This window comes from Homo sapiens, chromosome 18 (genome assembly GCF_000001405.40).
Source record: "Homo sapiens chromosome 18, GRCh38.p14 Primary Assembly".
In the NCBI taxonomy this organism is placed as follows: domain Eukaryota; kingdom Metazoa; phylum Chordata; class Mammalia; order Primates; family Hominidae; genus Homo; species Homo sapiens.
The window spans coordinates 44739321-44762947 of NC_000018.10; the positions used below are offsets into that span (position 1 = coordinate 44739321).

At 43.3% G+C, this 23627-nt stretch overlaps 1 protein-coding gene across 19 annotated transcripts in view, besides 3 other annotated features; it reads left to right on the top strand.

The window, feature by feature from the left end:
- The window catches only part of SETBP1 (SET binding protein 1), a 388438-nt gene that overhangs the window by 59248 nt on the left and 305563 nt on the right, over positions 1-23627 (top strand). For 3 of the 19 annotated variants that reach the window (XM_047437479.1, XM_047437480.1, XM_047437481.1), the window contains exon 3: positions 1-23627. This exon is cut by the window's left edge and continues 26645 nt beyond it; it is cut by the window's right edge. The exons of 15 other annotated variants lie outside the window; for them this stretch is intronic. The gene's annotated coding sequence lies outside the window, so the exon portion shown is untranslated. One more of the 19 variants, XM_024451157.2, reaches the window with a different exon arrangement.
- Positions 3038-6716: an enhancer, noted in NCBI's record as "VISTA enhancer hs1362". NCBI's record gives its function as "enhancer in: neural tube[6/6] | hindbrain (rhombencephalon)[6/6] | midbrain (mesencephalon)[6/6] | forebrain[6/6] | cranial nerve[5/6] | other[6/6]" and the evidence as "EXISTENCE:transgenic organism evidence [ECO:0001131][PMID:17130149]".
- Positions 4872-5373: an enhancer, noted in NCBI's record as "H3K4me1 hESC enhancer chr18:42324157-42324658 (GRCh37/hg19 assembly coordinates)". NCBI's record gives its function as "activates a minimal SCP1, AML or CMV promoter by ChIP-STARR-seq in naive H9 embryonic stem cells {active_cell/tissue: H9 hESC(naive)}" and the evidence as "EXISTENCE:reporter gene assay evidence [ECO:0000049][PMID:30033119]".
- Positions 20027-20336: an enhancer, noted in NCBI's record as "active region_13255". NCBI's record gives its function as "activates an Ori minimal core promoter by ATAC-STARR-seq in GM12878 lymphoblastoid cells {active_cell/tissue: GM12878}" and the evidence as "EXISTENCE:reporter gene assay evidence [ECO:0000049][PMID:35858748]".

Below are 23627 nucleotides of genomic sequence, written 5' to 3' on the forward strand. Positions count from 1 at the left end.
ATTACATCTTATTTTAGTAGTGCTAATAACTTGGATTAATAAAACATTAACAAACAACTTTACCTTGCCTTTATCTCCTTGATCTGTGACTGCTCCTCCAAGCACAATTCTTTATACTGGGGAATGAAATAATTGCTTTTTAAACAAAAAGCAATTTGCTATAATTTGTAGAACTGTTGGAGTCATAATGCTTTCAAGATATGTTTTAATAAAAAGATACTTGTATATTTGTAAAAGAGTCTGACTAAATATTTTCATTCATCTGAGGTTCTGGGAAATCTGATTTTAATTATCAGTGATATCTGAATTTGGATTCAGGTCTTTCACATTTAAAATACCCTGAAAGGATAATTTTGGTTATTCAACTTGTATCAAATGAATGACAGATACAGAAGAGTTTGGCAATGTGTTCATTAAATTTAAAAACCAGTATACTGGGTTATCATCCAGCAAGTGCTAACTGTGTCTTGGCAGATGTCTGATGTCCGAGTAGGAGTGATTATGGTTACTGTGTGAAGACTTGACTCTCAAGGAGTTGCAGGATCATACGTGGGAAGTGGAGGGGTTCCCATGTGACCTTCTATGAAGATCAGAAGAATAGAAAACCTGAAGAATAGATTTTGGTTGGAAGAATAGAAAGTCTGCCTAGAGTGTCTTTGGAATGCCAGAGGATGAGATCGTCTTGTTTACTAAGAGTTGTCACGGTTCCCCTCACCTCACCTCCCAAATCCTGGTAAGGAACCAGGACCTGCCAAGGTGAAGCACTGATAGATTTGGCTGGCCTTGAATCTGCAGGTGCTAAGGTTTGGGTTATTATTCTAGAGCGGGCATTGTGAGTCATAGGGCTCCAAGGATTCAATGGTAGAGTTACGTCACCTCCTTTGGGCATTGCAAAGTGAGCATAGGTATTTGCCTACTACTCTGCTGACAGCTTGGGAAGGTTGCCCATTTTACCTTTACGCTAATGACGATATTACCTATTACACATTGTGGCCATTACAGTGTGCACACCAGGGGAGGAGACAGCAAGAAAGTGGTTATCAGGACAGCTGAGGGCTGGCACTCCTTAACACTTGTGATCAGTTATTTCCTTTCTTCATGTTCGGAATAGGAATAATGATTCCTGCCCAACTTGCCTCAAGAATTATTACGAAGATGACATGTGATGTAAATGCACTTTGAAAGTGTCTAGTGGCTATTGAGTTCCCAATACTTTAAAAGAGAGAAATAGGGGTAGAAAGCCTTTCTAGGTTAAGGTGAAATGATGCAGTTCAACTCTCTGATCCTGTGCTTTTCCATACATTTCTCGTGGACACTGGGAAAAGGATATGCTGCCTTTTGCTTTGAATCACAAATACTGTGCATTAATTGGAGTTTATTTGTGGAAAAGCATTTGTGGGATGAGTTTGTAGAGTGTAGAATGGAGGGTGTGTATGTTTGAGGTAGGGTGAGTACAAGTTGTTTGATCCATTATTAGTTTAATTCTCATTTTTAATTGGTTTTAATTTAGTGTTTTGTCTGAAGTGATGATCTACATTCACAAAATTTTATGGATGGCTCTTTAGGGAAAAAGGAACCTGCACTTGGATAAATTTGAATGTACATCTTGATTTCTCAGTTCTCTCGGAAATATGGAGGCCTGCTATATCTTGCATTGTGGACTAGTAGATTATAAGATCATCAAATATAGAAACTAAAAGTGACTTTATAATTAACTGGCCCAGAGGGCTAGAGGAAGCAAATGAACAAACAAAAAACTTTAAGGCAAAAATTGGGCATTCATTCAGTATAATATATTTTCATTCATTCAGTGAATATTTTTGAGTACCTATTCTGTCCCAAGCCTTGAGCTAGGTGCTAAGGGCACCAAGATCAAAGACCCAGTGCCTGCCTGTAAGGAGGTCATGGTCCAGAGAGGAGATAGGCATTAAACAAGCAGTGTTCACTGTGCTCCTTGCCAAGTCTGGCTGATGGGAGGATAAGAGGGATGATCAACAGCAAATAGGAACTGTCCTAAGATTGCCTGGGGGTGGGGATGGGGCTGTGAGGAAAGGCTAACTATTTCCTATCTCTTCCTCTAGAAAAATAAAATACAACTAGAGTCCTAAGAGATCACCTTTCATTGCCTGTGCCATCGGGACCCCTTTTCCTTTTCGGTTCCATGCAAACCCATGACCCTAGATGCTGAAGATCTATTTTTTACCATCATCTTTCTTACTGTTATTATTTATGACGGTCATTGTTTTAACTGCTCCAAGGAGATAATTGCCTTAGTTGCTAAGGCAACCCAACATATTGGGTATAAGAGCAGCCAGCAGAAAGGGTTTGCCAAATTGCAGGGCTGGGTGGGAGGTGTGGGGTGGGAGAGCAAGGGAGCTCAGCTGTGGAGCTTGAAAATAGCCATGTTCAAATTATCTCTGCATTTCTTCCACTGAGGAGCGTGAAGCCACTTGGAATCCGGTGCCTGCCAACTCCTCACCCACCCCTGACGCTTCCTATTTTCAACCCAGCCAGTGCACTCCCTCACTAACCCTCAGTGCTCAGCCGAGAGAGCTTTCTTGGGTTCCAGTTCCCAGACTCACAACTCCTATTCTGTCTGCTGCTACTCAGCCCTGGAAATGTTCTTGCCCTGTATTTCTGGCCTCTAAGGACGGAGGTGGAGGTGGGTGCAGCACGCACAGATGTGTCTGTAGACTCCCCTGTCTGGGCAGTGCACATTACCCATTTCAAACAGACCATAATCCCTGGTGGTCTTGCTCAAGTCTTGTCTTCTTTCTAACTTGGAGAACTATAGGCAGATGACAATGACCATTTACATTTTAATTTTTGAAGACTGAAACATCTTGGGGGATCAACCTTGCTGTCTCCATTAAATAGGTAAACTGAAGCCAAGAGAGGAGAGTTATGCAGACAAAGCAATGCAGCAAAAGTGGGTGATCTCAGCCCCGCACCCCGGTCTCCTGACTTTCACACTCAGCCCTTATCAGTGCCATTAGCTTTGCTCCTTGGCTACTGACCATCTCAGTCTGAGGTCTTCTGGGAGATTTTGCTCTGGTTTCATGTCCTCTAGTTAGCACCTTTTTTGTCTCCTGGCCCTGGTCCTTATGCCAAGATGGGGTGGCAGAGAGGATGCTGGGGCAGGAGGATGCGGAGCACAAAAGTATAGCTCATTGGCTGGCATTGCTTTTCATGATTTGACCATCCAGAAGCAGCTATTGCCATGAAAGAAGATAATGGCAGGAGAAAAGGCAAGATGACAAAAGAATCCCTACCAGAAGATTTGGGAGGTTGTTACTGACTTATTTCAGAAAGTCTTCTTTCTTCTCTTTTTTTCCTGCTCACCAAGTACGCATTAGCCCCAGGATGTCTGTGGGGAGGGCCAGCCTGCCTCTGTGTCCTTAGCAACCTCCAGGGTGTCTCCCTAAGTATGTCCCAGGGCCCTCTGCTAGAGCTCTGCCTCAGAGTTGATCTATCTGAACAGGTTAAATAAACAGGTCTGTGTTTGGGTTAATTATCACTGGTTCTGTTGCTCTCCATTACTGCTCCATCCGGGACTCTGGCCAAGGAACAGATGGGAGAGGCTGCATCATCACCCCTGCCTCCTCATTGTGTCTGGCTCTCCCTCCTTCTCTCTCTCTCTCTCTCTCTCTCCCCCCCTGTCCCGTTACCCCTTTCTGTCTCACTCCCTTCCTCCTTCCCTTCCTGCCTGCCTCTCTCTTCCTCCCTCCTTCTCTTATTCTCCACCTTCCTCCCTTTCTCTCTCTCTCCTCTTCTCTCTCCTAGCCCTGCTTCCCTGCCTTCCCTTCCCCCTCCCTATTTTTGCTCTTTCTCTCTCTCTCTCTTTCTCTTTTTGGCTGAGCAAATAGGCCAGATGGTGGTGAGGGGAACAGACAACAAGTGAGGCATGGCATATGGGGAGCTTGTTTAATTTCGGCTCCTGTAGGGAAGTAGATTGGAGGAGGTGAGCTACAAAAGCAGAAAATGGAAAGGGGAAGGGTAAGAAAAAAAAGAAAAGAAAAACAACAACAACAACCGACCCTTCCAAGGGGGAAATTGGATTCAATTTACTATTGTTGGCCAGTAGAAGCAGTTGAGAATGAACTGAATCGAAAGTAGAAAGTGCCCTTTTTGAATTTCAAAGGTACAGCACCCCCCCAACCCCCAACCTACAACAGACCTCACTTGTACCAGCTCCATATTGCCCAAGGATCTGGTTCTGGGAGAAGGGTCTGCCAGGGGCAGTGGGCATGGGCAGAGTTTCTTATACAACGTGGGATATGGCTGTGTGTTGGTGGATCAATTCCAGGAGAGAGAGGAAAAAGAAAATAGCTCTGTGGCTAAAATTAGGGGTCAAGGGAAGACTAGCCCCCATTTAACCTACCTCTTTTTTTCTACTAGTTGTCTGACTTGGTTTGATGCACCTTTTGTTTCGATTTTATTCTGCTCTACCCATGGACAGCTGCCCAACATAGCCACACCTCACCCTGCTGCCATTGTCTGCTCCCTTTGCATACTTGGAAAAGTGCAGGCAGGATCTCGGAGAAGTGAGTGTAAAGATGTCACTGAATGGCCCTCTAGCAGAAGCCTTTTGTTTTCAACCAAAATGTATTTAACCTTCATGGTGACTGCCAAGAATGTCAAATTTAAGGCTACATTAGCTGGAGTTTCTGGAGAGATTCTGGCCACATATAATGGCACATGCCTTGGTCTCATTGGTGTGCCATTCCCACAGATCAGCGAAATACTGCCTGCTACACCCCTGAACATTTCCACTCTGCCATTGCTGGCGAACCCCCACTCTCAGAGAGCAGGTGGATTTCTGACATCCAGGAAAAGCTGTGACCCAGTGCAGCGTTGAGTCTCAGGCTCCTGGGTCTCTGGGGACTGGAAGAGACCAGAAGCCTTAACAATTACCCTAGGAAAGGAGAATACAATCCAGGCTCATCTGCTGGAGCTGCACGCCTGCTCCCCCCTTCCCTGCAGGGGCCTCCCCAGCTCCACCAGGCAACCCGTTGTTCTGCAGCTGATAACCGGATTAGGCAGCAGAATGGGGCAGATGAGTACCCTGAGGGGCCCTGCCTGGGAACAGGGGCTCCCTGGCCTGGCGTGAGGGCTGCCACTGTCAACACCCTAAGCCGCTGCCTCCTGCAGGGCATTTGCATGTGTGTGCGCCCTACTGTACGCGCCCAAGAGCCAGTGGGAAATGCCGGCGGTGGCAGTTCACACGGGGCACTGCTGCACAAAGCCCCAAGGCCAAGCGGCACGGTGGCCCTGGCTGGCGAATGTCGCGCACCCAGTCTCTCGCAGCAGCGCCTGGCGCGACGACTGCTGGAAGCCGGGCCAAACGCAGTCTTTGCATGAGTGTGGCCCTGGCTGTGGGAGCCGAAGCACAGCCACCACGCGCGCCGGAGCGCAGGGAGAGTCGCCTGCATCGTCCAACCCTCCTCTTAAAAAAAAAAAAACAAAAAAAAAAACGCTTTCTTCGTGCTTGCTTTCAGTGGCAGGCCGGCGGTTTGATCTCCCCTGAATGCTGTCCCCTCATTCGAGGCTTCGATTCTGAGAAGATTCAGGGCATTGTCCAGGGTGGCGGGATGTCGGATTGATTTCGGGGCCTTTGTGTGGACGTGGGGCTCCTGAATGAAGCTGTTATGCGCGTCTGGGGCTGGCGGGCAGGCTGTCCGGCTGCAAGCTGGGCCTCCCTTTGTTGTGGGGGCCTCATTGAGCCCACGGAAGAGGCTCATTTCAGCGTGATTTACTACCACCCAAACACCAGCTGTCTGTTGTGCTGCGGCTGCTGCGACGCCCTGCCCGGCCCCCTTTTGGGTAGAATCTCTTCTCCTTGTGAAGCTCTCAGAGCCCCCACCCCTTTCTTTAAATGCTTAAGGTAGATTTATAATCATTCGTGTATATTCATATTATATACTTGTGTATGTACACCTAGGTATGTATATACACACATACACATACACCCATGTGTATTCTTTTGGTGTGTTTCTTTTTAATAGAGGGCCCTGAGCTGAGGTAGGGAGCAGGTGGAAAAACGCTGCGGGGCTAGGGGCTGATGACCAAGATCGCAGCCTCAGTTCTGTCCTTGATTCATTGTGTGACCTTGGGTCAGTCACTTGATGTCTCAAAGACCCAGTTTCTTCACCAGAAAAAAATAAGAGCATTATTTTTGATAGAAGGAAGGCATGCCTGTATTTCTTGAAATATTACAGTATTTCAAAGCTATGACAAAAATAGAAAAGAGAGTGTCCTATTACTCTCTAACAATTTTGTAAAGCATTATTCAGTGAAAAATACAGCCAGAAGCAACAGGAAACGAGCTTGTGCTCAACCTTGCCAGGCACTGGGGAGGCAGGGTTCAGACTCTGTCTTGTCCTGAGGATCTCAAAATGGGGAGTCAATAAGGAGACTAGGGCCATGGAGCCTTGGAAGTGCTAAGTGAGCATCAAAGGAGGGAGCAGGAGGAAGCCTTGGAGGGAGAAGGGCCATCAGGGAAGGCTCCTGGAGGAGGTGGTGCAGGATTGTTTTGATGTTCAAGGTAGTTGGTAAGAGGCGGGGTGAGCAAAATTATTTCATAGAACTTGAGTGTCCAGTGTAGTGGTGACCATCCCTTCTCTGGCACCCTTCCTTGATCTGGAAGGCACACACACACCCAGGAGTGAAGAGAGAGCTTGAATTGGGGCAGGGAGATGTGGTCAAATATGCAGGGTAGAGGGGTCACTCTGCCACTCTGCCATTTCTGTTGGGATGTCTTGAAGGTGTCTATGTTGTCAGTCAGGCAGATGACCATTTAGAAGGTGGCTGTAATAGTTCAAGCAAGAATAGTGATTAAAATATGGGGCGTCATAGGAGAGATGACAGAGGTGGAAAGGGAAGACATTTATGTAGTGGGACTGCCTTTGAGAATCACTGGATGTAAGGAGTTGGAGAGAAAGGAGTGGATCTGTAATGATGCCCACATTTCTGTAAAATAGGATACATGATAGTACAATAGTCATAGCGTTGCTAGCTTGGCACATAATAAGCACTCAATAAGTGATGGTGATAAATAATCATGATGAATATTACTGTGTTTTTTAGGTGATCCAGTGAGTGGTTGCCTTCAGGCCATGTTCCAAAATGGAGAATACAGGAAAAAGAACATATTTTTTAAGGGGGAGGTGGTAAGAAAAGTAGGATGATATGTTTTTAACAGAATCAAGTTCACACAGGGGTTATCAAATGTGATATTTGGGGAGTGGCGTCTGAGTTGGAATATCTCTTTGTTCCCCCATAATGTTTAGCTTAGTGCTCAGAACATGCAAGGCATTTAATAGATGTTTGATGAACTTGTGGATTAATGTATATTCTGACTCTTAACAATCAGGAACTATCAGTTTAGAAATAATCATTTATTCCTCACATATTAAGGGAGTGGCAATTAATATCATGCATGGGACACAGTAAAGAACAAGCGGGTGGGGTCTGTGCCAACATGGAGTCTGTGGTCTGGTATGGCCGTGAGGACAATAGGAAAGCTACGTGCACATGTGATTGGAGACGATTCTGCATATTGTTTCTGAGTGTGTAAGCACTGTCTTCAGGTAAAGGTGAGGAACAGGTAGGGTGTGCTATGGATGCATACGGCACCTAAGTTATATTGAACCAGCCTCATGTTTTTATATAGTGTCTGATGGCCAGAGATAGACCTTGGCCCAACAGTTAGTCACATGCCAGCCCCAGCCTTGGCTGCTGTTTAATGCTGTGCTGCAAGCACTTAGGGAAGCTGCATGTGAATGGAGGTTCCTGGTGACTCCAGCATCAATCATATCTACTCTGAGGCTTCTACAGGTGATGACCAGGTCTCCAAGGTCCTGCTTCTTCCCCATGCATCCTTTCAGGGATACCTTCATGACCCCCAGGGGTTTTGCTCTTGGTTCTCCTTCATGTGGGTTAACAATCTCATGAGCTTTTTAAAGTTTATATTTAGAACAACTATAGGCTCACACTTCTGGGACCTGCTCCAGGAGGTGTTACAGTAAGGACTAGAGTCATTCAGCATCCCAGGAAAAGGGAACTGAAAAGAGCATTAGAAATCCTCAGAAGAAAAAAAAAATTCTCCTTTTATTAAGAGTGAAAATAATTCTAGAAAGGAGAGGTGCTGGCCCAGGCCACACAGCTCGAGAATGGCAGGGAGGAGCTTTAACCCAGACATCCTGGCCTCCCAATCCAGAGCTTGCTCTACTTTTTATGCACTGCTCCACATTGTTGTGCATGTGTGAGATTAAGTACGCTGATGCCTCTGTCTGTTTCCTACATTTCCCATGAGAAATATGAAAGTCAGTATTTTACAATATGCAGTCTGTGTAACTCAGTTATTCAGAATGTTAAGAGGTGTTAGAGGTCAAAAAAATTCTCTGAGCAAGAAACATTGGGAAACAACTGGTTCAACAAAGCTAATCTGATGTCTTTGCAGTAGGATGTCTCAAAGCCTTTAATGTTAATAAGCATCACAGATCTTCAAGTGTGGTTGAGTTTATGTTGTTTCACAAATTTATTAGGTCACAAGCTGATATCTAGGAGATCAGCTATCCCTAGACTGCACTCCTAGTTCTGATTCTTATGTAGAGACAGCCTCCCTGGCAGAGAGCATAGGTCAGGTTGTATTTGTAAAGATGCTGCATGGATCTATGCTTCTGCCTTGGGAGGCTGAGTGGGGTGGGGAGGCTGGCAGTACCCTGACTGCACTGGAGTACAGGACTCTGGAGAAGGAAGCATCCTGAAACACCAACTCCATTGAGTGTCACTCCTCCTGCTCCCCTCCCACTAGAGGAAGAAATGGAGGGAAAGATAGAAGAAAGGAAGGAAGGATGGAAAGGATGGAAAGGAAGGATGGGAAGGAAGGAAGGAAGGAAGCCATTTCACTGCTCTCAAGGATCCTCATGCCCTAACAAGAAGAAGGGGTGCAAATATATTTCTCAGAGTTAGTATAAAAGATGATCTCTCTGTTTCCTATTTACTTAGGAAGAAATGTTTAGACATGTAGGCCTAGAGAGGCAAAGAAAATAAGGAGAGCAAACAAGAACATTGGTTTACTTTTCCAGAGGAGGAAGAGGAGAGCACACAAGCCTGGGGAAGAGCAGAACATGATAGTTTTATCAGCTTCAGTCTCACTGCTTTTCCTAACAAAACTTCAGGACAATTCCTGATCGTGGTCAAACTTCAAGTAGCTCAAGAGGTCATGCTTTATGCAGTGGGTCAGTTGATATCATGAACTCAATCCAAGACTGCTTGAGATGCCCCTTGAAAGGAGGGTTGTGCGTGTGCAGGCACCATGTGCGTGCTTGTGCATGCACATCCCAGGAGCAATGCAGGTAAAGGGAATAGTGTCCACTTAGCTTCTGTCTCATTGGCTTGGTATTTCTGGACCTCAGATCCAGACATAAAGATCAGTCTCAGATAAGCGGCTTTTGGCAACTTAGATTGTGTCTGTTATTTATTGGGAAATGCAGGATGGATCATGCAACGAGACATATTTGCACATTCTCTGTGGGGATGTGGCAGGACACACAAGTTGACTCGCAGACAGGTGAAGAGAGGTGGTAAGCAAAAGTCTCCCAGGGGCTGCTGCAGAACACTCTGCTGGCTGTCTGCATCATTTCTACTCTGTTGTAATCTCCATGACCACAGAGGCTTGCCTGCTTGTCAGCAGAGTGATTTCTGGGGTAGTTATGAGAGGGGCAAGCTTAAGGGGAGGCATTAATGCACATTATCTACAAAGAGCAGCAACTTAGGATCTCCAAGCCTTCTTCCCCCTTTCCATCACTCAAAGCAACACTCTCCCAAGGCAGATGCATAATCATACTTATGACCTCCTCTGCAGCACTTATAAGATATCATCCTTTAGTTCTGTTACATTCATTACCCCTCGTTGGGGAGTTAATAATTGGACCCATTTTATAAAAGAGAAGGTGAGGCGCAGAGATGCAAGTGATACTCTGGCCTTCAGAGAGAAAAATTACAGTGGAACCAGAGTGTGCCTCCAATTCTAGAATTCTAGAATATTGTGGGAGAGAAAGGACCAAGGATGAAGCTCCCTCATCACTGGACACACTCAAGTCTGGCTGCTTTCTGCCTGTGCCATTCTTTTTCGGGAGAAAGGCAACAATTAGGAAACCCAGACCCTGGGAGATGGAGCTTTTCCCTGGATTCCAGGGAAGCAATTTCTTCTTTTAGCAAGAAAGTATGAAGGACTGATACTGTGCACAGCATCTTTGCTAGGCAAGTGAGAGAAAATTGATCTGCAACATGTGGGTCCTTTTTTAAAAGAGCTTGCGGTTTGTTGCATACAGACATACATATGAAAATTAAAATACCATCTCTCACCAAATCTAAGATATCATAAACTACAAGACAGTTTCAAAGAAGTTAGAAGTAAAAAATTGTGCATCCTATAATCATGGGATATGGTAGTAATACAAAAGGTAAATAAAAATGAAAGTTAAATTATCCAGAGTTGTTACAGCCATATGTGTTCATTCACTTGTTGTTTTCTGACTTCTCTGATATGCCAATGCATGGTGAAGCATCCAATGAGTGGTACTGACAGTTGTTGCTTTGAGCTCACAATGAAGAAGGATGGCTGGGTGGGAGCAGGGTGGGATAGAAAGTGAAGGACTCATAAATGATGCAAGATTGAGTTAAGGCTTGAAGAACAGGAAAGATTTCAAGTGGGAAGGCAAGAGGGAGGTGTGATGGGGAATGTCTAGCTCTGGGCTTAATTGCCAAAGAGGACTTCGGAGAAACTGGTTTATTGATAGGAGAAGTAAAATACTGGTGTATTAGTCAACTTGGGCTGCTATAACAAAATATCATAGACTGGCTGGCTTTAACAACAGACATGTATTTCCCACAGTTCTGGAGGTTGGGAAGTCTACATTCAAGGTGGCAGTAGATAGATTCAGTTCCTGGTGAAGGCCCTCTTTCTGGTTTGTGGATGGCTGCCTTCTAGCTATAGCCTCACAGGGCAGAGAGGGGAAGCTCTGCTGTTTCTTCATTTTCTTATAAAAACACTAACTCTATTATGAGGGCTCTACCCTCCTGACCTCATCTACACCCAGTTACCTCCCAAAGGCCCCACCTCCTAATATCATCACACTGGGGGTTAGGGTGTTAACATGAATTTTGGGGGAGACACAAACATCTGTCCGTAACAATTGGGAACCAATTTAAATTAGATTTGGGTTCTGGAACTTAAATCATTGGACAAACTTGGGAGATGTTTTAGGGTCCAAGTATGGCAGTCATCCGATGGATGTTTTGAAGGCATTTGGCCACCTGAGTTGGCATTTAATCATGCCAGACACCACCAGACTTCTTCCGGGTTTCCTATCTCCATTTCACTGCTCTTTCAGAGTTCTGCTTTGTAGAGAATATAAGGGAAGGGAAGACATGACCCCTGCTCTCAATAGGCTTAGCTAGGTCATAAAAAATATCAAGTTATGAAAGATTTTAAGAACAAAACTAGCTAAGATGCAAAGTGTGTAGGGTACTGACAGTCTGTGTTATAAATATAAAAAGATAGGAGACCACTGTGGGCCAGTTGAGTAGGACGTGGCTCTTTGGGGCAAGTGAGATTTGTGCTGGGCCTTGAGGTTATGGGCTGTGGTTATGATGAGGCTGATGGAGTGGGAAGCAGTATGAGCAAACTTAAGTGCACAAGGGTCAGCCTGGTATTTGGGGGTCATGGAGAGGTATGGACAGAAGAGCATTATATTTAGCACTTACTATCTCCTGCAGGACATGGCAAAGTAAAGTTTTTTGTTTGTTTGTTTTTATGGAATGTGTAGACAGTGAAAAGGGTAGGCAAGGGAGGAGAAAGAAGCAGGAAGGTAAGGGAGAGTTAAACATGCTTTCCACATCAGCCTCACCCTTCTGTTCCCCACAGCTAGCCACTGCTAGTCTAGGAGAACAGTTCACAAACTCACATTCTTTAGCTGGAAGACCTTCACAGCTTACCTAGCGACAAGATTTTGAGAGAGTTTGAGAGATAGAGCAGAGAGCTGGAAGGTAAGAAAGTAGATGAGAGAGGTTATCAGATCAGCAAGGGCAAGGAGTTCCTAATTTGATTTGTGTCCATTCTTTACTTTCCATGCCCCTTTCTCTTTTTCTACCACTATTTGACAATGAATCATATGGAAATTGTGGTTTCTATTTTTATTACTATTTATAGTTATTTGCAGGTTTTATTGTTATTTGATTTATCCTTTATTTGTCATTTTGTTTCTTGCAATTTCATTCATATCTTCTCTCTTTTGTTATAATGCCAGAAACTTGAAAGGAGGAACTATGCTTTTTCGTATTTCTCAAAGTGTAAACAGTTTTCTTTTTCTTAGTAAATCCTTAATAAAGGTAACTTCAATACATTTGGAAACCAGGCAGGCGTATTAGTCTTCTCAGGCTGCTATAACAATATACCATAGACTGAGTGGCTTAAAAAATAGACATAAATTTTTCACAGTTCTGGTAGCTAGGAAGTCCAAGATCAGGGTGCTGGCCAATTCACTTCTTGGTGAGGGCTCTCTTCCTGGCTTACAGGCAGCTGCCTTCTCATTGTGTCCTCACATGGTGGAGACTTTCTCTTCCTCGTCTTATAAAGCCACTAATTCTTTCTCTAAAGGCTTCACTAACCTTTATTAGCCATCTCACCTTGACTACCTCTCAAAGGTACCATCTCCTTTCAACATATGGATTTCAACATACGGATTCTGGAAGAACACAATGACGTCTATAGAAGCAGGATACAACATTTAAATACAGGGAAAAAAATAAAAAATATGGAAGAAGTGAAAGAACAATCCACGTTTGTATATTTGATTTTTATGTATTCAATGAATTACCCGCCCAATCCAGGTGATTTACCAATTATAGAGTGAGACACTGCAGGACTCCAGTGGTTCTTGAATGATTGATCATTACATTGATTGGTGGTCAGTGCTGGGATGAGCCCAGGACTATCTTCTTCATGAACAGAGAACCTAGATAGCTGTCTGTGGGTCTTGAGGTAGAAAGTATATATGTCATGGTTAGAGACCTAGGCAGGCAACAGGAACGCTTCAAGGAATGTGGCAGTTCTTGGGGAATGACCTAAATGAAGTGCTGGTGGGTATTGAAATCTTTAGTTGAGTAGGGAAATGTGCAGCATGTTTTTGCACTCCAGCAGCAACAACTGTGGACTTGACTGATTATCAATTGCTGTCTCTATGTCATCTAAAGAAATGAGTATACTGGACAAATTTTATATATTTTATATGTTACTTTAAGGGATGTGGTATGATGAGAACTCTTGTGTAACTGACTGGGGGCTCAAAAACAGAAAAATACTTAATAAAATCTCACATTTACAAAGAAGGTTTGTAGGAAATAAGATGGAGAAGTGGAGGCAGCATAGAGAGTTATCACTGACTGGTCCATGGGGCCTTTGACCTAGGTTCCAAGATCATTGTCAATAGTCATAAGTGGCCTTCAGGTTCTCCTCTAACCTTCTGGAATTGGATGCCCAATTTTGTATATATGTGCATTTAAGTGTTTTCTTGGAAGAGCTTACAACATTCTTCAAATTCTCAAGATGGTCTGTGACCCAGAAAAATTAGAAATTACTACTGATTCCAACTTCTCAAATCTACAGATGAGGAAACCAAGACTTAGAGAGGATTAGTAACTTTCTCAAAGCTACTGAAAGCTGGGACAATTATGGTTTTTTTATGTTACATTGCTATATTCTCTCTACTGTTCCTCTCTGAAAGATCAAGAGGTCACTTTGCTTGTAGATTATTTCCAAAACCCTACAGAGAAAGATGAGCTACTAATGAGTTTATAGATCAGTTTCCTGCCAGAACCTCTAATCCACTGAGGCTGCTCTTGTGTTGGGACCAATTTGAACCCACCATGGGTTCATCACAGAAGAATGGGGATTTTGTGCAACGAATCATAAAACCCCAGAATGATAATCCGGACAGATCCTAGGAGGCTGGCATGAGAATACTCCTTCATCCATGGGAAACATCATTTTAAGGAGCCTGGCCCCCAGGTGTCCTAAGCATAGGAACTACAGACATAGCCTGGGTTACTTAATGTCGTAGAAATGCCTTTGCCTAACCTTTGACAGACTTGTGTATTAGAAGTAGTGCTACCTAAACAAATAATAGAAATACACCATTATGGAGCCTTTCTAGGCCATTGCTTCAGTCTCCCACACCCAAGGAAATTCATTTCTCAAGTTCTGGGCATATGGGCATTGGCCACCCTATCCCATGCCTGCCAAGACCATGAATGACCCAGACAGAAATGCTTTAGGTGAGCATGAGTTTCATGTTGGAGGTACGGAATGTTGACATGGGTGGAAATCAAGTCAAGTGTCTAGGGAAAGAATAGTGGAACACTAAAGGTGGTGTGTGGTGGACCAGTGACAGCAGGGTGAGGGAGGAAGGAAAAAGACTGAATCATAGTCGTGAATGGGAAGGAAGTCAGGAATCTGGAAGAGACAAGGTGAAGAAGGATGGCATAACTCTTGGGGCATAGTTGAAGCCATCTCACCTAATTCTGGCAAAGTCTGGTTAGAGTTGGCTGTTCGAAGGTAGCTTGACATCTGGCTACCTACCATTTGTGGACAGCTCAAACTCATGCAAAGTTATTTCTAATATTGCACTGTAATACTCTCTCCTTGCATTCACCATAGATCGCCTCTGTTCAGTTTCTTAAAAACCCTACAAACCAGTTCTATCCTCTGTTCTATGAGACAGCTTCCCCAGTATTTGAAAATGACTTGGATGCAGTGCCTTAGGCCTCTCTGTCTTAATCTGTTTCCCAATCACTCTGCAGGTTATTCCTAGTAAACCTTCTTAAGTGAGAGCTACTCTCTTTATGCATGTCATATTTAAATATACCTTAAATATGAATAAAATAGAACCTATTCCTCCAGATGTAGAACACAGTGAGACTTCTGTAGGGTACTTTATGTAGGGTCCTAGTCTTCTTAGGCTGTGTTTATGAGAACTTAAACCTCAGTAGTTTCATTAATGCTAAGTTGATTTTGGATTGGCATCCCAGAATGTGGAGATTATTTCAAATTTGATGTAGTTTGTCCATCATTTTGGTTATTTCTATTTTGTATCATCAGTGGATTTGAATTTTTTTTAAATGTCTTAGATGAAATCATAGAATAGGCCAGGGTTAAGTTTAAAAGTCAGGAGCATTCTTATAGAGAAGTCCCTTTATGTCTGTGGTCTTGGCCTCTTAAAATAAGTACCACATACTCATATTAACACATGAGACCATATAGATACCCAGTCAAGAGAATGGAGCTTCATCTCAAGAATTTATCTAAACCGCTTAATAAATTATTTAGACTCTGTCACCCACACCAGTGTGAACTTTGTCACTCTGGTTCTCTTTGGCTCTCTGTCTACTGGACTTGCATCTCACCTTCATGCATCTGTTGCTGGGCTTGATGATGAATTCTGTTTACGCTTAAAATCCTCTCTCAGGAATGAGTCTGGAATTTAGTATACCCAAAGCCCCAACATAGTGGGTCAAAGACACTCCTTCAGCCTAGTGCTCTTGGGAGAGAATAATCAATAGGTTGGTATTGATTTGCTAATCATTATTCTGTCCTGGCATTTTGACCAAATTTCTGGAATCTATCTCCAAACTATCTTATGCCCTTAACTCACTGAAAGATATGAACTACTAACTTGTTTCTAACCCTCTGCAGGTTACTAAAACTTCAGACCCATTTCACACTTTGTAAAATGAAGGATCTTGGACAAAACAGCTTTTCAGAAAATGTTTTCCAAAATGAAATGTTGTTAGATTAAAAAATGAGAAGGGAGGAAATTCAGTGATTAAAAAAGTTTTACAGATGCTTGTGTGATGGTTAATATTAGGTGTCAACTTGATTGGATTGAGGGATGCCCAGATGGCTGGTGAAACATTGTTTCTGGGCATGTCTGAGGGTGTTTCCAGAGGATATTGAGACATGAGTCCGTGGACTGAGAGGAAGACTCACTGTAAATGTGAGGCATCATCCAATTAGCTGGGAGCGGGCTAGGACAAAGTAGGAGGAGGAACAGAGATACTCAGCTCCCTCTTGTTTTCTCTCTTCGCAGTGGGACACCTTTTTTTTTTTTTCTTCCTCCTGCCCTTAGACATCAAACTCCAGGTTTGTAGGCTTTTGGACTCTGGAACTTACAGCAGCCTCCTGAGTGTTCCCAGGCCTTAGGCTTCAGGCTAGGGGATGCACTATTGGCTTCTCTTGTTCTGAGGCTTTTGGACTTGGACTGAGCCTCTTTGGGAGCCACACTACTAGTTCCCTGGGAGACATGCTTGTGGCTCCTCTGGTTTTCCAGCTTGCAGACGATCTCTCTTGGGACTTTGTGTTTGTAATCATGTGAGCCAATTCCCCCTTAATAAGTTCCATTTTATATATATCCCATTTGTCCTGTCTCTCTGGAAGATCCTAACCAATACAGCTTGGTTAAAAAAAGTTAAACAGGGTACTCACTCTGTGGTTCTTCTGTGTACGTGTTAATAAAATTTGTGTTCCTTTTCTCCAATTAAAAAACAAAATTGGCCGGGCGCGGTGGCTCACACCTGTAATCCCAGCACTTTGGGAGGCCGAGACAGGTGGATCACGAGGTCAGGAGATCAAGACCATCCTGGCTAACATGGTGAAACCCCGTCTCTACTAAAAATACAAAAAACATTAGCTGGCTGTGGTGGCACATGCCTGCAGTCCCAGCTACTCCGGAGGGTGAGGAGGGGGAATCACTTGAACCCTGGAGGCAGAGGTTGCACTGAGCTGAAATCGTGCCACCGTACTCCAGCCTGGGTGGCAGAGTAAGACTCCATGTCAAAAAAAAAAAAAAAGAAAAGTTAAACAGTTTTCATTATAAAGCGTTTCTCAGGGTCTTCCACATGCTAATGTTGCTAATGTGCCTCGTGAGTCTCCACATGTGAGAAGTGCTATGCGGTTTTTCCCAAACTTTATTTGATCATGGAACACTTTCAAGTAGGACACATTTTCCCTGGTACCACTTTTGAGAAACACTGAACTAGTTGGTTTCTCACACAGCCTTCTGGGATCACAGTGCTGTCAAGTACATCCTTCACTCAGAGAGCCCAGGGCTGGACGCAAAGGGCAGATTGCTGCCCAGCCACAAGCCAGGCTCCAGGGCACACGGGGAGTGCTTGTCCTTCTGCTGCAATGACCACCATGAGGAGGGTGCCTCCTGACCACACCAGACATTGAAGAATGGAAGCAATTCTTTGGATGTGTCTCTCACACCACCCCTTTCCCTTCTCTTCCCTCCCCTCCTCAGCATTCAGGGCTTCTGCCTTGCTAAGCTCATTAACCTCCTTAATGATGTAGTATCTTTTTTCCATATAAACCTCTGTCCTTAAAATTTGCCATTCTCAGTGCTTCCCAGGAGGAGAGCTTGCTCTCCTGGGCTGCTCTGTGAATTGGAACTTGGCACCCCTCTATGTGGGGAGAATAAATGGCATGCTGTCTCTGGGGTGAGGACATGCTTAGGAGAGCACCAGGGAACAGTTTTGTGGATTTCTTGATTTTTCAAAATGACATTACCGGTTCACAAATGTGGCATTTTGGTGCCCTGCAGATGGATACTCTAAATTTATTTGACAAAAGGCAGATTTAGCATTTTAAATTCTTTTTTTTTGGTAGGGGAGAGCGGCTGTATAATTTAGTTCACGTATCTGACTCCTCAGCCATCCAAGATAAGATACAGTTGTTAGGATGAGCCCCTATGATATTGTCAACAGCATCAGGTGATTTAGGGCAGTGGGGAAGGTTGGAGATTATTTCCAAAATCCCTTCAGTGGCCACTCCCCCTCTGCCCTGAATTTGGCTTTAAGGCCAAGATCAGTCTCTCTGATCATTTTTGTCCGTGAAAAATGTATGATCTGAATTAAATACACTTAGTCTCCATTAGTGGTTTACCAACTATCTGTGTGGTCCATATACAGCTCTACCCCTGCTGGGAATAGCAAGCATGGCATTCTGTAGAGCCTGCCTCACTGCTAATGCTCGCTGACTAGACAGATTCAATCCGCACTAGCCACCTATAGCCAAGGATGCATGAACACACGCATACACTTATATATGCCTGAATTTGAGTGCTCTGTATCCCCGGCCAGCCTCCACTACAGTTAACTGGATTGCATTATTGTAAGGTCTAAAGAACATTATGTTAGTAGCAATAGTGAACATTTACTCAACACTTACTATGTGCCTCCCTACTGTGTGCTTCATCTGTACTATCTTATTTAATCTTCCTAACAAATCTGACGGAAATATTTAGCAGATAATGAAATTGGAGATTTAGAGAGATTAAACGACTTGTCTCAATTTCACACCACCGAGATTTAATCCTGACTCCTGAGTCCAGACTCTTAAGAACTCTGTTTGAAAGTATTATAGGAAGCAATGCATAAATAACACAGTGCTGTGTAGATCAAGTAACATTAATTTGTTGCTAAACCTATCACAATTCAAAATGTGTCAAAGGATAATAATGAGGAAAGTCTAAGTCCCAAGACATCCCAGGTACATCATTTATGTTTGTTAGAGAGATGTGTTTCTGACCGTTCCATTTCTAGTTGGAGATGAGTCTCTTATACATTGTCTCAGCGAGTACTAAGGTTGAGGCGGGGTGGAGGACTCTCTTATCAGGAGGGAGAACAGGGAAATCCCAGCTTCCATCCGTCCCATCTATTATCCGTGTAGCGTACAGCTCTAATTTTGCCACCGATGCAGGGAGAGGTTAGTCTGGACATAGATTACTGAGGCAGCCGCTGATGTCAGGACACCCCAGAGCTCATAGACTGAGAGTACACACACACTCCTGAGCTTTAGCCAAATTAAGAAGTTTGATCAAATAAATCTGTTCTGAGATCATTTTCTTTACTAATTGGCACTTTCCTTGGAGCAAATAAAACAGCTGAGAATAGATCTCAGGACCTTAAATCTTGAGACTCCAGAAGTCACAGAGCTGAAAGAATTTTTTTTTTTTTTTTGAGACGGAGTCTCGCTCTGTTGCCCAGGCTGGAGTGCAGTGGTGCGATCTCAGCTCACTGCAAGCTCTGCCTCCCGGGTTGAGGCGATTCTCCTGCCTCAGCCTCCCGAGTAGCTGGGACTACAGGGGCCTGCCACCACGCCCGGCTAATTTTTTGTATTTTTAGTAAAGAGGGGGTTTCACTGTGTTAGCCAGGATGGTCTCGATCTCCTGACCTCGTGATCCACCTGCCTTGACCTCCCAAAGTGCTGGGATTACAGGCGTGAGCCACCACGCCCGGCCTGAAAGATTTTTAAAAAGATCTTGCTGCTGATTTCATAAATCACATCAATGAACCATTGCATGTCCTTGACAATCTAGTTCTCCTGACTGCCTCTTTTTCTTTCCTGGTTTGATCATTAGGATGGTCTTGTGAGAAATGACGGACCTGGATTCCCACCTATGTTTTCCACATCAGAAAATACCAACTTGGATTAAGGAGCATTTCTTCCATTGTCCATTGATGGAAAAGCCCCCCATGCGTCCCTGGGACGTCTGCAGGGACCACCACAGATGCTGTATGTGTGTGATGCTGGCCCGTGGTCTACACCCAAACTCTCTTCAAAACTAGTCTCTCTAAATAACACGTTTCTCCATGAGAAAATCTAAATGTGGGCTCTTCCAAATTGGAGAACCATCATTTTTATTCCCTTAGTTCATAATTGGTGAGTCAGTTTTTTTGTGATGTGGCAAGGGGAAAATATTTCAGTTATCAAAATGTGCTGCTGTGGGGGTTAGATGTGCTTTTACAGGGCATGGGATGGTGGCAGCCTCTCGATTTTACCCATAGTGGTCCATGAGCCGTGAGCACTGTCTTCCTGTTTTATATCAGGAGGTATGTTTTCAATCAGCAGACCTTTATGGCTCTGCAGTTGCCCCCAAGAATTGTGGCGTCTGCGAAGCTTTCCTGCGAAGGTGATACGTTCAACATGTAAAGCATAATCCCTCCCTGAAACCTTAAATTATCTAAACTGAAAGAGCTTTCCGGGTCTAACTGGCTTTTCTCAGTGAGGTGGATTGTTTTCATTTGCTTCATTTCTCCTCTTTTGGCCTTTGAGCTGACTCTTGTCAGTTTCGTTCCTATTTAAAGTTAGTTTCACCTTTCAGTTCCCTCCTCCATCTTAGCCTTACAGAGTTTCAGTTCCCCAAACAGTGTGTGTGGGGTGAGCTGGGGAGAGAAGCTTTATAATTCAGTCTAAAATAAAAAGATTTCCCTGAAATATTGCAAAGATATTGGACAATGAGAGAAAGGCAATTTGATTGAAGAACTAATCTAGCACATTTTATGATGTTAGGCAAGTCACTCATGGCAAATCTTTGAGCCTCACATTCCTGTGCTGTATGCAATGGCTTTAAACTAGATTTTAGTTCTCAATTCTGGCTGCATGTTGGAATCACTAGGAAATTTTAAAAGCAGCAACCAAAAAACTCCAAAAAACTGACGTCTGCATCCTATCCTGTACCAATTAAACCAGAAAATCAAGAGGTGATTTTTAGGTATTTCTTTCAAGCTCCCCAGGTGATTTGTATGTGTGGCCAGGTTGGGAACTTCTGGCCTGCATGCTTGTGGAGAACCTGGGCTCCTTCTCAGCTGAGCATTGTCAGGAGTTGTGGTGGTGGAGGCTCTTGTTACAATAGCTGTAACAGTACTAGGGTAATACATGTCCCTGACTGGTGGTTCCATTTCCTATCAGACCTTTGCTTAGCTTGGTAAACACTGTTGCTGAAACAGACCTTATTTTAAAGGTGGCCATATAGAATATTTTCACCTTTAACTTCTCACTACTTCCTTGTTGAGATAGAGGCCTCCTCTCATCAGGTCTCAGACATCTCTCTCTGGATGGGGAAGGGAGGAAGCTGGTTTACGTGGGTGCACTGCAGAGGCCTGAAATGTGTCTGTACTTGAAGATGCTCAGCTTAACCTATAAATTATCAGCCAGGACCTGTTTAGAAGCCCAGTTCTGCCTTGGTTACCCAAGATCTCAATGCAGCAGTGGCCAGCAAAAGCCAAATCTGAAATCTTGGTCAACTGACCTTATTTCTGTCATCAAAGGAAGGAGTGAGGCTTTGACTGAAGCCCAGTGCATTTTATTACCTTTAAGTTTAAATGCTTATTCAGAACCATTCTGGCTGACACACCTCCTCTTTCCTTTTCCTTCTCTCTTCTCTCTAGCCCCTGCCAATCCAAACATGACAGAAGCACAAAATCAAATTCAAATTTCAAGTGTAGTGTGCGATAACAATACATTTTTCAGTTATTTTGCAATCACTAGACCTAGAATTTGATTTTTTTATAAGATGGGTATGGAAATAGAGGGAGGTGTATATACTGTTTTTTAACTCGCAGTAAAATATATTTAAATAGCATCGAATGGTGATTTCCACCATGCCATCTTCAGTTTGAGAAATAAAGGACATACAAAAAGAAGGAAGGAATCTTAAATAAGATTTAAGTTATGTTTATGATATCAAAGACATTTCAATCCTTTGCATATGGCTGATTAATGTGACATAGTATCTGTTGCCCATAATGTCTTTCATATTGAAATGATTATAAAAATGGTTACAACATTTGTATCTACTGTGTACCAGAGATTGACTTAGAACTTTTACATTGAGGTCATCTTTAATTCTCACCACAAAATCAGCCGTGCTACTTTATTTATTTTTAAAGCATGTTTTATTTATTTTTAAAAAATTTATAATTGACATAATAATTTTACGTATTTCTAGGGTATAATGTGGGTTTTCAATGGATATATATGTAGTGTAATGATCAAATTGAGGTAATTACCATATACATTACATTAAACATTTATCATTTCTGGTGACAGCATTCAAAATTTTCTTTTCTAGCTATCTTGAACTATACACTTCATTGTTATTTGCTATAATCACCCTACAGTGTAATAGAATACCACAACTTATTCTTTCTATCTGACTATAACTTTGTACCCATTGGCCAACCTTTACTGGTCCCCTCTCCCACATTTTAATTTTACTGATAAATAAAACTAAATAAAAACTGAGGGTTAGCAAGCTTACAAAGCTTGCCCAGGGTCATACATGATAGATCATAGCACAGCTAGATCAGTCCATGTTGATCCTAACATTCTTTACAGCACCCTACTAATCCTGAAGAATTGACTACAGTTCCTTATCAAGAGAATGTCCTCTTGAGTAAGGGCAGCCATAGATTACAGTGCTCTTATTGGATCTATGTTGTTATGTCAGTGTATTTCTTAAGACAACCTACTATATTTTTGTTAGAGATTTATGCCATACACATATTGCTTTTGAATGGACCTTTGGTAATCATTGTTGTATATGAGCCTCGTGATAACCAAAGGAATTAGGCAGAACAATTGTTTTTCTTTCCTTTTTCCTGCTAAGGGGAGAAAATCAAGGCAAGGAGAAATCAGTTGCCTTGTTTATAGGTTTTTTGATGTCCGAGCCAGGGCCTGGACTCAGGCCTTCTGACTCCTGCTCCAGTGGTCCTTCCATGACTTGTGACTCGTGGTAGGTCTTTGTGCATGACCTGGCCCCATTGTTGTACCCTGGCTGACCCTGGCCATCTAAATGCACAGAGGGTGCTATATTAGGACCGTTATGTAATGAACTGGGCCAGCTGGCCAGACTGGTCTTTCAAGGTTTACCTCTCCCTTTGGCCAATTGACAGTTCTACCAAGCTTCTAAACACTTTTTTTTTTTTCTTTTTCCTGCTTCAGGCTTTCCTGACTTCTTTTCCCAGTTCTGGAGTGCTCTCCCTGGAGTTATCACTCTAGCAAATTCTTCCAGTTCTTTAGGCCCAGCCCAGAACACACCTCTTCAGGAGCTCTTCCTTGACAGCAGCCTGTTCTTGGTATTACCCTAGGCCCTGAGTTCTTAAGATATTGTTATCTGGACTGTACAACCCATTAAGCAAGTTGCACATACAGGTTTACATTTTGTTCAGATCTTCAAGTACATGTAAAGCTAGAGGTATTTGTCCATTCTTTTCTGTGTCCCAGGTATGGAGGTAGAGGTGGGAGTGGTGCTAGCATAGTTCTAAGCACGCAGTGCTTAGAGCAGATAACCATTGACTTGTCTCTTGTTTACTATATAGTATTATCTCAATGGTTGACAGGGTATATTGTGAAGCAGAAAGGGAAGATGTAATTATTTTTCAAACAGATATGGGTCAAGAGTTTCCCATTGAGGCTGGGAATGTGGGAGTGGTACCCAGGGAAGGAAAGGCAATGCAAGCCCATGTCTGGGGTGAAAAAGCCAAGTCCTTCAAAGTATATTTAACAGTTCCGTCACCATCAATGATTAGCATTGGCAGAAAAAGGAACAGCCATTTCTAAAGTGAATCTAAGTGTCAGAATTTAAAGGTCCTGAACTGAACTCAACTATTGACTTGCTTTTAGCTCTTAAGTTAGATCATTCTTTTTATGAGTTATTCATTCATTCTCTAAATAGTAACAGAGTATTTATTTGGTGTAAGGCATGGTGTCAAGTATTACATAG